Source organism: Homo sapiens, chromosome 10 (assembly GCF_000001405.40).
Source record: "Homo sapiens chromosome 10, GRCh38.p14 Primary Assembly".
Lineage (NCBI taxonomy): Eukaryota > Metazoa > Chordata > Mammalia > Primates > Hominidae > Homo > Homo sapiens.
In genome coordinates, this window is record NC_000010.11 from 392,832 (window position 1) to 407,149 (window position 14,318).

The 14,318-nt window shown below is 45.0% G+C and overlaps 1 protein-coding gene across 7 annotated transcripts in view; it reads right to left on the minus strand.

Moving 5' to 3' along the window:
• DIP2C (disco interacting protein 2 homolog C) overlaps positions 1–14,318 on the minus strand; it is a 415,468-nt gene that overhangs the window by 118,631 nt on the left and 282,519 nt on the right. For all 7 annotated transcript variants that reach the window (NM_014974.3, XM_005252427.5, XM_005252426.4 and 4 more), the window contains one exon: positions 6,278–6,388. In NM_014974.3, coding sequence (NP_055789.1) covers positions 6,278–6,388 — 111 coding nt within the window. The remainder of the gene's footprint in view (positions 1–6,277; positions 6,389–14,318) is intronic.

The following is a 14,318-nucleotide window of genomic DNA, read 5'->3' on the forward strand; positions in this document are numbered from 1 at the left end:
GCCCACGCACACACACGTCCCCACACAATACACAGACACTCAACACTCACACACACGTGCCCACACACAGGCGCGCACACACACTCAACAAAGAAAGGGACCAGACAGATGGACCCTGCACACAGCACCTGAAGCAAAGGGCTGCGGGTCCTCAGTGGGCCTCACGACCTCTGCCGGTGACCCAAGGACGGGACCCGGCTGCACCTGGACTAGTGGCTTTCCTGACTCACAGGCCTCAGTCCTCTGTCCTTGGAAAGGTGGCGTCGGCCTCAGTCTGGCTGGATCTGAGGCCAACTCCGGGAAACAGGTGCTACATCTCAGGAAAGTGAATAAAAAGAATCCTCCCAGGATGCATTCAGAAAACTAGGTTCTCATCAGGGTCTTTATTCGAAGACACTTCTAGCGGCTGTAGGACTGGCAGATGGAAGCAATATTAGGATTCACATACTTAACTACACGAATATGCTCATCTGACCTCACTTTGACTTGCACCATAGCCAACAGATTCTTTCAGTTAAAAATAAGAAAAGTTCTCTAAGACCAATAAGCTGCTACTTTCTAAAGGCACACTTCTGAAAGGATGGCACCCAAATGGCCAACAGGTCCATGAAAAGGTGCTCCACATCACTAATCATCAGGGAAACGCAAATTAAAACCACAGGGAAGCCAGGCGCGATGGCTCAGGCCTGTAATCCCAGCACTTTGGGTGGCCACGGCAGGCAGATCAGTGGAGGTCAGGAGTTCAAGACCAGCCTGGCCAGCATGGCTAAACCCCAATCTCTACTAAAAATATAAAGATTAGCCAGGTGCCATGGTACGCGCCTGTAATCCCAGCTACTCAGGAGGCTGAGGCAGGAGAATAGCTTGAACCCGGGAAGCGGAGGTTGCAGTGAGCAGAGATTGCGTCACTGCACTCCAGCCTGGGTGACAGAGCGAGACTCCGTCTCAAAAAAAAAAAAAAAAAAGAAAAAAAAAGAAAAAGAAAAAGGAAAAGGAAAAAAAAAAAAAACAACCCACAAGGAGACATCACCTCACATTTCTTGCACTGGTTACAACGTGTTTATCAAAAAGAGGAAAAATACCCGTTGATGAGGATGCAGAGAAAAGAAAACCCTTGCACGCTATTGGTGGGAATGCAAATTAGCACAGCCATTATGGAAAATGGTATGGAGATTTCTCAAAAACCTAAATATAGAACTACCATATGATCCAGCAATCTTGCTACTGGGTATTGGGCCAAAGGAACTGAAATTGATCAGGAATCCAGATTATCGGCATCCCTACATTCACTGGAGTGTTATCCACAAGGGTCAAGAAGACAAATCAACCACAGTGCCCAAAGACCCACGAATGGATGCAGAGCAGGCAGAGCCGGCACACTGGGCGCTATTCAGCCTTCAGCGAGGAGGGAAGCCGGGCCTGTGCTGAACCGGAAGGACATTACGTCACACAGTGGGCGCTATTCAGCCTTCAGGGAGGAGGGAAGCCTGCTCTGTGCTGAACTGGAAGGACATTATGGCACACAGTGGGTGCTATTCAGCCTTCAGCGAGGAGGGAACCCTGCCGTGTGCTGAACCAGGAGGACATTACATCACACAGTGGGTGCTATTCAGCCTTCAGCGAGGAGGGAAGTCTGCCGTGTGCTGAACCGGAAGGACATTATGCCACACAGTGGGCGCTATTCAGCCTTCAGGGAGGAGGGAAGCCTGCTCTGTGCTGAACCAAAGGACATTACGTCACATAGTGGGCGCTATTCAGCCTTCAGACAGGAGGGAAGGTGACCGTATGCTGAACAGGAAGGACATTATGCCACACAGTGGGCGCTATTCAGCCTTCAGGGAGGAGGGAAGCCTGCCACATGCTGAACCGGAAGGACGCTAGGCCACACAGTGGGCGCTATTCAGCCTTCAGGGAGGAGGGAAGCCTGCCACATGCTGAACAGGAAGGACGCTAGGCCACACAGTGGGCGCTATTCAGCCTTCAGGGAGGAGGGAAGCCTGCTCTGTGCTGAACCGAAGGACATTACCTCACACAGTGGGCGCTATTCAGCCTTCAGACAGGAGGGAAGGTGACCGTATGCTGAACAGGAAGGACACTGTGCCACACAGTGGGCACTATTCAGCCGTCAGTGAGGAGGGAAGCCTGCCGTATGCTGAACCAGGACATTAGGCTGCCGGAAATAAGCCAGGCACAGAAAGACCAAGGCTACATGAGCTCATTTACACGTGGCATTTAGCAGTGAATAGAATGGTGACCACGAGGGCTGGGGGGGAGGGAGGAGTTGGGGGGAGGGAGGAGTTGGGGGAGGGAGGAGATGGGGGGGAGGGAGGACATGGGGAGATGTTGGTCAGAAGAGACAAAGCCTCAGATTGGAGGAAGAGGTTTTGAGATCTATTGCAGAGCAGGGTAACTATAATAAATGAAAATGTAATCTACATTTCAAAATAACCAAGAGTATATTCCAAATGTCTTACCATAAAAAATGAGAGGTAAGCAAGGTGACAGATATGTTAATCAGTTTGATAAACATTCCACGTCGTATGCATATATCAGAACATCACACTCTACCCCATAAATGTATATAATTATAACTTGTCAGTTAAAATAATATTTAAAAAGTAAAATCAAGTCACGGTGTCTTTAGACCTGAGAGGCTCGGCCTCAGGGGAGGGTCTCTGTACTTCACCTGTGAAATCACTTGTGGCTTCCCTAGCATTCTATCCCATGACCACTGGTTGGCACAGTAAAGGTTTCTAAATGCCTTGTTAAGGTCTGTGCGTTCTCCACAGCTTTCTGCAAAGCCTGAGGCATCTGTAGGCAAAGTCACCTCAGGGTTATATTGGCACAGAGAGGGCAAGACAGGAATGTCAGCCCTTTCTTCTGAGAGGGGTTTTGGTGCTTGGTGATAAAACCATAGCCACAGAGGGCCCCTCCCTATGTCCTGGAGGTGAGGGACAGGCAGGGGATCTTTCCTGTCCCCGTGTCCTCATCACATGCACAGGTTACAGTCACTGACACGTAAGTCCCCAGGGACCTCCCAGCGTGAGAAGTCCTGGCCTCCTGAAATGTCCCCACACTGTTCTCCTGCTATGCTCCCTGCCCTCGGACCACAGAGAGTCCCCCCGAGATGCCCCTCATCCCCATGTGGACCCTGCCCTGTGCACAGTGAACGTGCAGCCTCTACTCGGGTACAAGGGGCTCTCAGCTGAGGGGGACTGTTGGGTCCTCCTGTGGGAGAGGAAAACTGTCCTCTTCCTCCATCATCACTGCCACAGCTTCCCAGCCACGTGGCCTTGGAAAGATTTCTGATTTGTTCAAAACGTACGGTTTATGTCTCTACTACCATTCAAAGGTACTTAATTCATTATTTCAAAGCATCTTAAATGTGTTACAGTGAAACGTTTCATGGCTGAAATAAATGCCACCTTGGTATTTGGAGCTATGCCTAGGATTTGAGATAATAGGATGGCATTTCTGCCAACCTGAGAGCAGCACTCCAACATGCTCAGGAAAACCACCTCCCCCCTTTATCCAAATCATTTTCCTCTACAAACCAGCCTGGACTGGAGGACACCAGGCTATACACTTTAACATGGATAAATACAAATTATTAAAGTGAAGAAAAGAATAATTGTTACGAATAACAATGATAAATGTTTTGTGTCTGGTTATTGAACCATCACCATATGCTCATGCCTACAAGTTCCTGCAAATCATCATTTCACTGTCGCTTAGAGACCTCAGAGCATGTCCAGAGAGCCCCTAACCATGGACATGAACATCAGCTGAAGAGAAGCCTTGTAAACTCCTCACTAGATCCCAGGACTGGGGTTAACTATAGTACTGAGGCTGTCATGTAAGCATGACTGGAGTCCTCCAGTCCTTCCACTTTTCTCACCTGTTGTGAAGACCATGGGACCCAGGGGATGAGAAAGCACCTCACGGGAAGTCTGAGCTGTCTGATGCACACGTGGAGTGCTGGCTGCAAATCCGGTGGGGGGGGGGGAAACTGGCTGCAAATCCGGTGGGGGGGAAACTGGCATTCTCCCATAGCAGCTACCACAGACTCCCCTGCCTCTGCCAGACACGAGCATACTCAGGAGGCCAAGCATGAACCTCCTGGCTTTGTACATAGGAAATGAAAATAGCAATCATCTTTCCTGTTTCCAAAAGGAACCCCGTGTTCTCTCCCTTCCCATCCAAGGGGAAGTTTGAAATGCAACCATGTAACTGGCACAGACTCTGAAGAGATACCCACGTGGCAGATGGTTTTCTTAAATATTGAGTCAACAAACTTTAATGCTGGAGTAGCCACAAAGACAGCTGAAGTTTCTTTGCCTGGGCTACCTGTGATTGTTGCCTTTTAGAGCTGGAAGAGTCACCCACACTGTGCACACATTAAAGATGTGCTAAAGGGGCCAGGCGCAGTGGCTCACACCTGTCATTCCAGCCCTGTGGGAGGCCGAGGTGGGCAGATCACCTGAGGTCAGGAGTTCGAGACCAGCCTGGCCAACGTAACAAAACCTCATCTCTACTAAAAATACAAAAATTAGCCGGGTGTGGTGGCACACGCCTGTAATCTCAGCTACTCAGGAGGCTGAGGGAGGAGAATCGCTTGAACCCGAGGGGCAGAGGTTGCAGTGAGCTGAAATCGTGCCACTGCACTCCAGCCTGGGAGACACAGCGACTCCATCTCAAAAAAAAAAAAAAAAGTGCTGAAGGGAGCTGATGGTTTAAGGGCAGTGTGCACAGGCACATTGCAGGTTCAGACCTGGGCAGTCCCTTGGGGCGCGTGCTGCTGGCTTCCTCCTACACGACTGGCCGCCTACAGGGAGCAGCAGCGTGACCTGCACTGCAGCCGCCCCACTTCATGTCTCTTACAGTTACCGTAACTGCTTTACAGAAGAACAAACCATCCACATGGACTAAAACCTTACATTGGTATGAGCGTAAGCCAAAAATAAAATTCTAAGCCCCTCAACCAACTGAAGAGACCTCTTCCCTCAGCCAAGGACATTCCAAAGTTAACCTGAAAAACCAGTTCAGCCATGATGGGAAGGAGGGGTCGGACATGCCCCCCTTACTCCCTCATCCTCTGTTTGAAATTCAGACACAGTTGACCAGCAATGGCATTAAAACAGACACCTCCAGACTGACAAAGCTGACTCTCTGGAGCAATAAGATACCAACATGACAAATAGCAGGCCCTGAAAGAAATCGAAGTATTTTACCTCAAAATATATTTCTTTGACATAGTTTGAAATAGCCCTATAAAGCTCTCTCTTGTGGGGAAAATCTACATTCTGTAGACAATCTCCTTCCCTTTCCAGGTCCTTTTCCTGATCCAGGGGAGAATTAACTAAGAGTCTGGCACATTTTTAAGTCTGATAAGAACCATTTACACCTATTCTCTCTGAAGCCTGCTGCCTGGAGGCTTCCTCCACATAATAAAATCCTTGGTCTCCACAACCCCGAACCCTAAGACACTGGCTTCTATTGATTTCAGGGCTTTAGATAAACTCTTTCAACCAACTGCCAATCAGAAAATCTTAGAATCCACCTGTGACCTGGAAGGCCCCCACTGCGGCTTCAAGCTGTCCCACCTTTCTAGACCAAATGAACATATGTCTTACATGTATTGCCTAATGTCTCATGTGTCCCTAAAATGTACGAACCCAAAAGCTGCAGCCGGACCACCCTGGGCACACGTTCTCAGGACCTCCTGAGGCTGTGGCATGGCCACGTCCTCAACCTTGGCAAAATAAAATTCTAAATTGAAACCTGTCTCAAATACTTTTTGATTGACAACGCACATTAATTTCTTTACATTGGATTAAACAATAATTACAATGGCAAGTTTAGTAGCTTATTTTCATTATAGAATAAAACCTGACAAATCATAGGTCAACCTTGGACTGGATGTCAAAACACCTGAACAAAAGCAGCATCCACCACCCTTCAAAATAATAATTAAAAAAAAACTATCATTTACCCCAATTCTAGTGCACATGACACCAAGGAACAAGATTCTCAAACACCCTTGCTTTACTGACCAAGAGGCTGCTGATCCACGTTTGACCCCAAAGCAAGCTGTGCTCCACCTCCAGGACGCCCATCCCAGGCTGCAGGGCCCACTAGCGACCGCATCCCTTATCGAGGCAACCGAAGGAAACCCAGGGCCCCAGAAACAGCGAGGAGACCCTCACCCAGCCGGGATACAGCCACCGTGAAAGCCATCTCACTCAGCGAGAAACCGAGCAAAGGGCGCATTCCTTACCTTCCTGGTGAGCGGCACCTCGATGGGCACGGGGACCACCTCGGCCAGCAGGCAGCCGTAGAAAGCCGCCATGAAGGCAGCCGGATCATTGTTGGGGAACACCAGTGCCACCTGTGGGACAGGCCAGAGCGGGTCAGCATTAACGTGGGGTCCTGGCTTCCTAAGACGCCACGGAAGAGCTTGGTTCTAGGTGAGAGGGCACGCTTCAGTGAGAACCAGATCCTATGTAAAATGCATTTCAGTAAGCTGTGTTTTAATAAGCATCACACACCCGGCCTTGAATTCATATAGAAGACAAACGTGAACAGTCGTCTATGATACTGTCACCAGAGTACAACTGCCTTTATTTTCTGCATACTACCTTCCATACCCACACGTTTCCACATAGATGAAGTTATATCCTACTGTTTCTCACTAAGCTTTGTAAATACTTCCTTGTATTTCTATACAGTCTTCATAACTGTCCTGGGACAGCATGTGCAGGACTCAGCTCAGATCCCATGGCAGTGTTTGGCTCTGGGATCTCAGGCACAATTGTGGCCTCTCTGAGCCTTAGTGTTCTTCTCTGAAAAGTGAGAATAATGATAGAGCTGATGTCTTAATGCGGTGGTCAAGGTCAAATGAGAGAATGCACATAGAGAACTCAGTGGGCTGCTTCACACATGGCGTGAGTTCGTGGAGGCTGACTATGAGTAAAGCCCAAGTTACTGGCACTAGGGCTGGTGGCAGCATCAGTCCCCTGGTGCCACACACGTGCATGTGTTGTGGGCCCTGGCCCTGCAGCAGTCTTCCCTGTGTAGCTGCCTGGATGTGGCACCAACCCATCCTGCCAGCTCAGCCTCTCTTAAGAACTAAGTTCCTAAGAGTAGAATTATCAGAGTTCTAAAAGTGTGGTTAATGTAAATTACCAAGTAATATTGGTACCTACTAATAGATATTATGATTTTTTTTCTAAAGAAACAAGTTCACTCTATTACCCAGGCTGGAGTGCAGTGGCACAATCATAGCTCACTGCAGCCTTGAACTCCTGGGCTCCAGTGATCCTCCTGCCTTACAGGTGAGCACTACTGCATGCAGCTAATTTTTAAAAAATATCTTTAGATGGGGTCTCGTTATGTTGCCCAGGCTGGCCTCAAACTCCTGGCCTCAAGCGATTCTCCTGCCTTGGTCCCCGCAAAGTGTTGGGATTACAGATGTGAGCCACTGTTGCCTGGCCAGTATGTTTTCTGATGGTCCTTAACAGTATGGTGTATCTTGACGAAGAACAATTTTCCTTCGATGATAGAGTGTTAATAGACAACCCTATTTCTGGATTCCCACTAAGCCCTGTGAACTCTGCTTCTATTTTAACACAGGTTACTTGTACATGTGGGGTAGCATTAGCGTTACTCTTCCTTCTGGACAAGTTTGGTACATTTTCATCAGCACATGAATCCTGTGATTTTACACGTGTGGTAGCATTAGCATTACTCTTCCTTATGGACAAGTTTGGTACGTGTTCATCAGCACATGAATCCTGTGATTTTACATGTGGGGTAGCATTAGCATTACTCTTCCTTATGGACAAGTTTGGTATGTGTTCATCAGCACATGAATCCTGTGATTTTACACGTGTGGTAGCATTAGCATTACTCTTCTTTATGGACAAGTTTGGTAATCCTGTGATTTTACACGTGTGGTAGCATTAGCATTACTCTTCCTTATGAACAAGTTTGGTATGTGTTCCTCACCACATGAATCCTGTGATTTTACACGTGTGGCAGCATTAGCATTACTCTTCCTTATGGACAAGTTTGGTACATTTTCATCAGTACATGAATCCTATGATTTTACACGTGTGGCAGCATTAGCATTACTCTTCCTTATGGACAAGTTTGGTATGTGTTCATCAGCACATGAATCCTGTGATTTTACACGTGTGGTAGCATTAGCATTACTCTTCCTTATGGACAAGTTTGGTATGTGTTCATCAGCACATGAATCCTGTGATTTTACACGTGTGGTAGCATTAGCATTACTCTTCCTTATGGACAAGTTTGGTATGTGTTCATCAGCACATGAATCCTGTGATTTTACATGTGTGGTAGCATTAGCATTACTCTTCCTTATGGACAAGTTTGGTACATTTTCATCAGCCCATGAATCCTATGATTTTACATGTGGGGTAGCATTAGCATTACTCTTCCTTACGGACAAGTTTGGTATGTGTTCATCAGCACATGAATCCTATGATTTTACATGTGTGGTAGCATTAGCATTACTCTTCCTTATGGACAAGTTTCGTACATTTTCATCAGCACATGAATCCTGTGATTTTACATGTGTGGTAGCATTAGCGTTACTATTCCTTATGGACAAGTTTCGTATGTGTTCATCAGCACATGAATCCTGTGATTTTACATGTGTGGTAGCATTAGCATTACTCTTCCTTATGGACAAGTTTGGTACATTTTCATCAGCACATGAATCCTATTTTACATGTGTGGTAGCATTAGCATTACTCTTCCTTATGGACAAGTTTGGTACATTTTCATCAGCACATGAATCCTATGATTTTACATGTGTGGTAGCATTAGCATTACTCTTCCTTATGGACAAGTTTGGTATGTGTTCCTCAGCACATGAATCCTGTGATTTTACACGTGTGGCAGCATTAGCATTACTCTTCCTTATGGACAAGTTTGGTACATTTTCATCAGCACATGAATCCTATGATTTTACACGTGTGGCAGCATTAGCATTACTCTTCCTTATGGACAAGTTTGGTACATTTTCATCAGCACATGAATCCTGTGATTTTACACGTGTGGTAGCATTAGCGTTACTCTTCCTTATGGACAAGTTTGGTATGTGTTCCTCAGCACATAAATCCTGTGATTTTACATGTGTGGTAGCATTAGCATTACTCTTCCTTATGGACAAGTTTGGTATGTGTTCATCAGCACATGAATCCTGTGATTTTACATGTGTGGTAGCATTAGCATTACTCTTCCTTATGGACAAGTTTGGTACGTTTTCATCAGCACATGAATCCTGTGATTTTACATGTGTGGTAGCATTAGCATTACTCTTCCTTATGGACAAGTTTGGTACATTTTCATCAGCACATGAATCCTGTGATTTTACACGTGTGGTAGCATTAGCATTACTCTTCCTTATGGACAAGTTTGGTATGTGTTCATCAGCACATGAATCATGTGATTTTACATGTGTGGTAGCATTAGCATTACTCTTCCTTATGGACAAGTTTGGTACGTTTTCATCAGCACATGAATCCTGTGATTTTACACGTGTGGTAGCATTAGCATTACTCTTCCTTATGGACAAGTTTGGTATGTGTTCATCAGCACATGAATCCTGTGATTTTACACGTGTGGTAGCATTAGCATTACTCTTCCTTATGGACAAGTTTGGTATGTGTTCCTCAGCACATGAATCCTGTGATTTTACATGTGTGGTAGCATTAGCATTACTCTTCCTTATGGACAAGTTTGGTACATTTTCATCAGCACATGAATCCTATGATTTTACATGAGTGGTAGCATTAGCATTACTCTTCCTTATGGACAAGTTTGGTATGTGTTCATCAGCACATGAATCCTATGATTTTACATGTGTGGTAGCATTAGCATTACTCTTCCTTATGGACAAGTTTGGTATGTGTTCCTCAGCACATGAATCCTGTGATTTTACATGTGTGGTAGCATTAGCATTACTCTTCCTTATGGACAAGTTTGGTATGTGTTCATCAGCACATGAATCCTGTGATTTTACATGTGTGGTAGCATTAGCATTACTCTTCCTTATGGACAAGTTTGGTACATTTTCATCAGCACATGAATCCTGTGATTTTACATGTGTGGTAGCATTAGCATTACTCTTCCTTATGGACAAGTTTGGTACATTTTCATCAGCACATGAATCCTGTGATTTTACACATGTGGTAGCATTAGCATTACTCTTCCTTATGGACAAGTTTGGTATGTGTTCCTCAGCACATGAATCCTGTGATTTTACATGTGTGGTAGCATTAGCATTACTCTTCCTTATGGACAAGTTTGGTACATTTTCATCAGCACATGAATCCTATGATTTTACATGAGTGGTAGCATTAGCATTACTCTTCCTTATGGACAAGTTTGGTATGTGTTCAGCACATGAATCCTATGATTTTACATGTGTGGTAGCATTAGCATTACTCTTCCTTATGGACAAGTTTGGTATGTGTTCCTCAGCACATGAATCCTGTGATTTTACATGTGTGGTAGCATTAGCATTACTCTTCCTTATGGACAAGTTTGGTATGTGTTCATCAGCACATGAATCCTGTGATTTTACATGTGTGGTAGCATTAGCATTACTCTTCCTTATGGACAAGTTTGGTACGTTTTCATCAGCACATGAATCCTGTGATTTTACACGTGTGGTAGCATTAGCATTACTCTTCCTTATGGACAAGTTTGGTATGTGTTCATCAGCACATGAATCCTGTGATTTTACATGTGTGGTAGCATTAGCATTACTCTTCCTTATGGACAAGTTTGGTATGTGTTCATCAGCACATGAATCCTGTGATTTTACACGTGTGGTAGCATTAGCATTACTCTTCCTTATGGACAAGTTTGGTACATTTTCATCAGCCCATGAATCCTGTGATTCTACATGTGTGGTAGTATTAGCATTACTCTTCCTTATGGACAAGTTTGGTACGTTTTCATCAGCACATGAATCCTGTGATTTTACACGTGTGGTGGCATTAGCATTACTCTTCCTTATGGACAAGTTTGGTATGTGTTCCTCAGCACATGAATCCTGTGATTTTACACGTGTGGTGGCATTAGCATTACTCTTCCTTATGGACAAGTTTGGTATGTGTTCCTCAGCACATGAATCCTATGATTTTACATGTGTGGTAGCATTAGCATTACTCTTCCTTATGGACAAGTTTGGTACATTTTCATCAGCACATGAATCCTATGATTTTACATGTGTGGTAGCATTAGCATTACTCTTCCTTATGGACAAGTTTGGTATGTGTTCATCAGCACGTGAATCCTATGATTTAGCACATGTGCATCATTTTTGCATTACTTCATTCTGGATTTTTTTTTTTTTTTTGAGACAGAGTCTTGTTGTGTCACCCAGGCTGGAGTACAGTAGTGCAATCTCGGCTCACTGCAACCTCTGCTTCCCCGGTTCAAGCGATTCTCTTGCCTCAGCCTCCCGAATAGCTAGGACTATAGGCATGCACCACCACACTCAGCCAATTTTTTTCTATTTTTTGTAGATACAGGGTTTCACCATGTTGGCCAGGCTGGTCTCAATCTCTTGACCTAGTCATCTGCCCACCTCAGCCTCTCGAAGTGCTGGGATTCCAGGCATGAGTCACCGCACCAGGCCTCATTCTTGAAGTTAAACAATTTTTTATGAAAAATGTCCTAACTGGAAGTAATTTCATCACGAACAGTTTTAGACAAACATCCTAATCATCTGTGTATCTAAGTAAGCAGGCTGACATAAAAGCATCCAGATGGTCATTGAGAGGGGAGCAGGCCATGCTGGAAAGGTCGGAATGCAGGATCACTGGCAGACACAAAATTAAGTTGTAGATTCTATGAATATATGAATATTTCCTTTCTGTATGGAATTTCTATAGTCCACTACAATTTGCTAAGAGAGATTAGAAAGGGAATAAAATTATTTGTACATCTATGCGGATAAGCCACAACCAATTATTTCTTCAAACTATCCGAGGTTTACACTAGGCATGAGTGTCATGTGACGGACTGAGAGCTGATGGCATGTTTTTCAGATCTTGATATGGTGAACAAACAGTATTCAGTTAAATGTTTGTAAGATTTCCACATTACCACTGCTGTACAACTTCTTCCCCTAAGGCGGACCAAAAAACACCAGGAAACGTTAGAAAATTCAGATGTTGAAGTTCCATCCAAAACTGATGGTTGCACCCATTCATGAGAACATGTTCAGTTCTGACTTGTTAATCTTCCCAGAATACCAGCTCTGGAGGCAGAGTCTTCACCAAGGGCAGACAGCTGAGACGGAGAGGATGCGTGTCATCCCCACGGCCAGACGGCGATCAGCCCTCTCCCGAGAAGCACCTCGTGTCTGCCTCCTCTCCCAGCTCCTGTTGCCTCTGCTCAAAGGAAGTTCTTCTTTATCAGGGGTTTAAAATTCTCACTGATTTATCACTAGAGTTAATGCTGAAAATTTCATATTATAGACCACTGCAGAGTTGTACTGAAATGTGGTATAACAAAGTTAATAAAAGCAGAATATAAAATTGTACATTATTGTACACACACAACAATACAAGTAATGGATAGAAAAGGGTAAAATACTTAAAGGCTCTTTTAGCATCAAAACTGAAAATTTTTTTGCAATTTGTTTTAAGGAAGAGAACGTTGTACTTACATCATTTTTGTTAGGCATTCCTTCAGTATTTGAATCAGTCACAAATCCTGTTGTATTGCTACCTCCATAGTGATCCCAATACAATACTGGACAAATACAAAGACGCTCGATTTTTGTAAACCCACATGGCTTCCCTCCGTTCAATCCTCTGTGTACTTCTTTGATACTTCACTGTACCTAATTATTCACACAGCAGGCATCAGCCGATCAGGAGACGCACACTCAACTCTTCAGGGGAGCAAAGGCCTTTCCGGCTGAAGGATTCCCAGCTCCCCTCCAGGGCTCCTCACACAGCCGGCCCTGCTGTCCAGGCGAAAGGCTTCAGCACCTTCCACGCTACTTCCTGGAACCCGCCCAAGAGCTACCGGCTCATCTTTTCTCCTCGAGAGCCCTTCTCAGATAATCTTTCCTCAGAAAAATTTTAGAAAAGTAGCGCCTTCACCCCTGACCCAACCAAGCCAAACCAATCCCTGCCCAAAATAAGCCTCTTTACATATTTCATCAAACCGTGCTCCCGTATCTCTACTGACATCTTAGAGGAACACAGGAGTTTATTTTGTGATTATTATCATATGGAAACTTCAAGTATCTGGAGGCCATACTATGAAAGAATTTTTAAAACAACTCTTAAGACTACAAACCACATTACAGATAAAGGAGCTATTCCATTACAATTAACGTTTCATTATGTGGTAACACAAAATTTACGATTCTAACAATTTTTACACGTAGAATTCAGTAGCATGAAGCACAATCACAAGGTTATACAACTGCCACCACCAGCCATCTCTAGAACTTTCTCATCTTCCCAAATGGAAACTCTGTCCCTATTAAACACGAACTTTGCATTCCTCTCCCCCAGTCCCTGGCACCTAACCTTTCTGCTTTTGTTTCTCTACAGCTGGACTACTCTAGGGATGTCATGAAACCACTCTTGTGAAAATGATAACTGAGGAAATTATGACACTGAAAGGGATCAGACCTAACCAACTCCATCTTGCTTCTAACCTTTAAGCTGTCCCTTGTTCAATCCTGGGTGGAGAACAAACTAACCTTGGGAAGGAATTCAGTTCATAGTTTGACTCTGAAACAAAACTGGTAATAGCCCTTTCCCGAAATTACCCCTTTCTTGCTTGGGGACCAGTCTGCCTTTGTAGGACTAACAAATTAGCTACAAGATTAGAAATTACTGCATGACCCTAAAGGGGTCATGCAGCCTCTGGCTCCAACAGTCTGAATCTCCCCAGATTGCTCCTGGGGATAACATCACTATCATAAAACCTAAGATCAGTGCTGGAGGTATTCTGCAGACCCTGCACTGGATGGAGCAGCTGACACCACCCAGACAGGTCATCTGGCTCAACCAGTTCTGCGAACCCACCCAGGAACAGAAGACAGCAGGAAAAACTCAGTTCGACCCCCTACGATCCCATCTCCAACCTGACCAATCAGCACTCCCCACTTCCCAAGCCCTCACCCGCCAAGTTATCCTTAAAAACTCTGAACGATCCTCAAACACTTGGGGAGACCGATTTGAGAAATAATAGAACTCCAGTCTCCCGCACAGCCAGCTCTGCGTGAATCACTTTCTCCATTGCAATCCCCG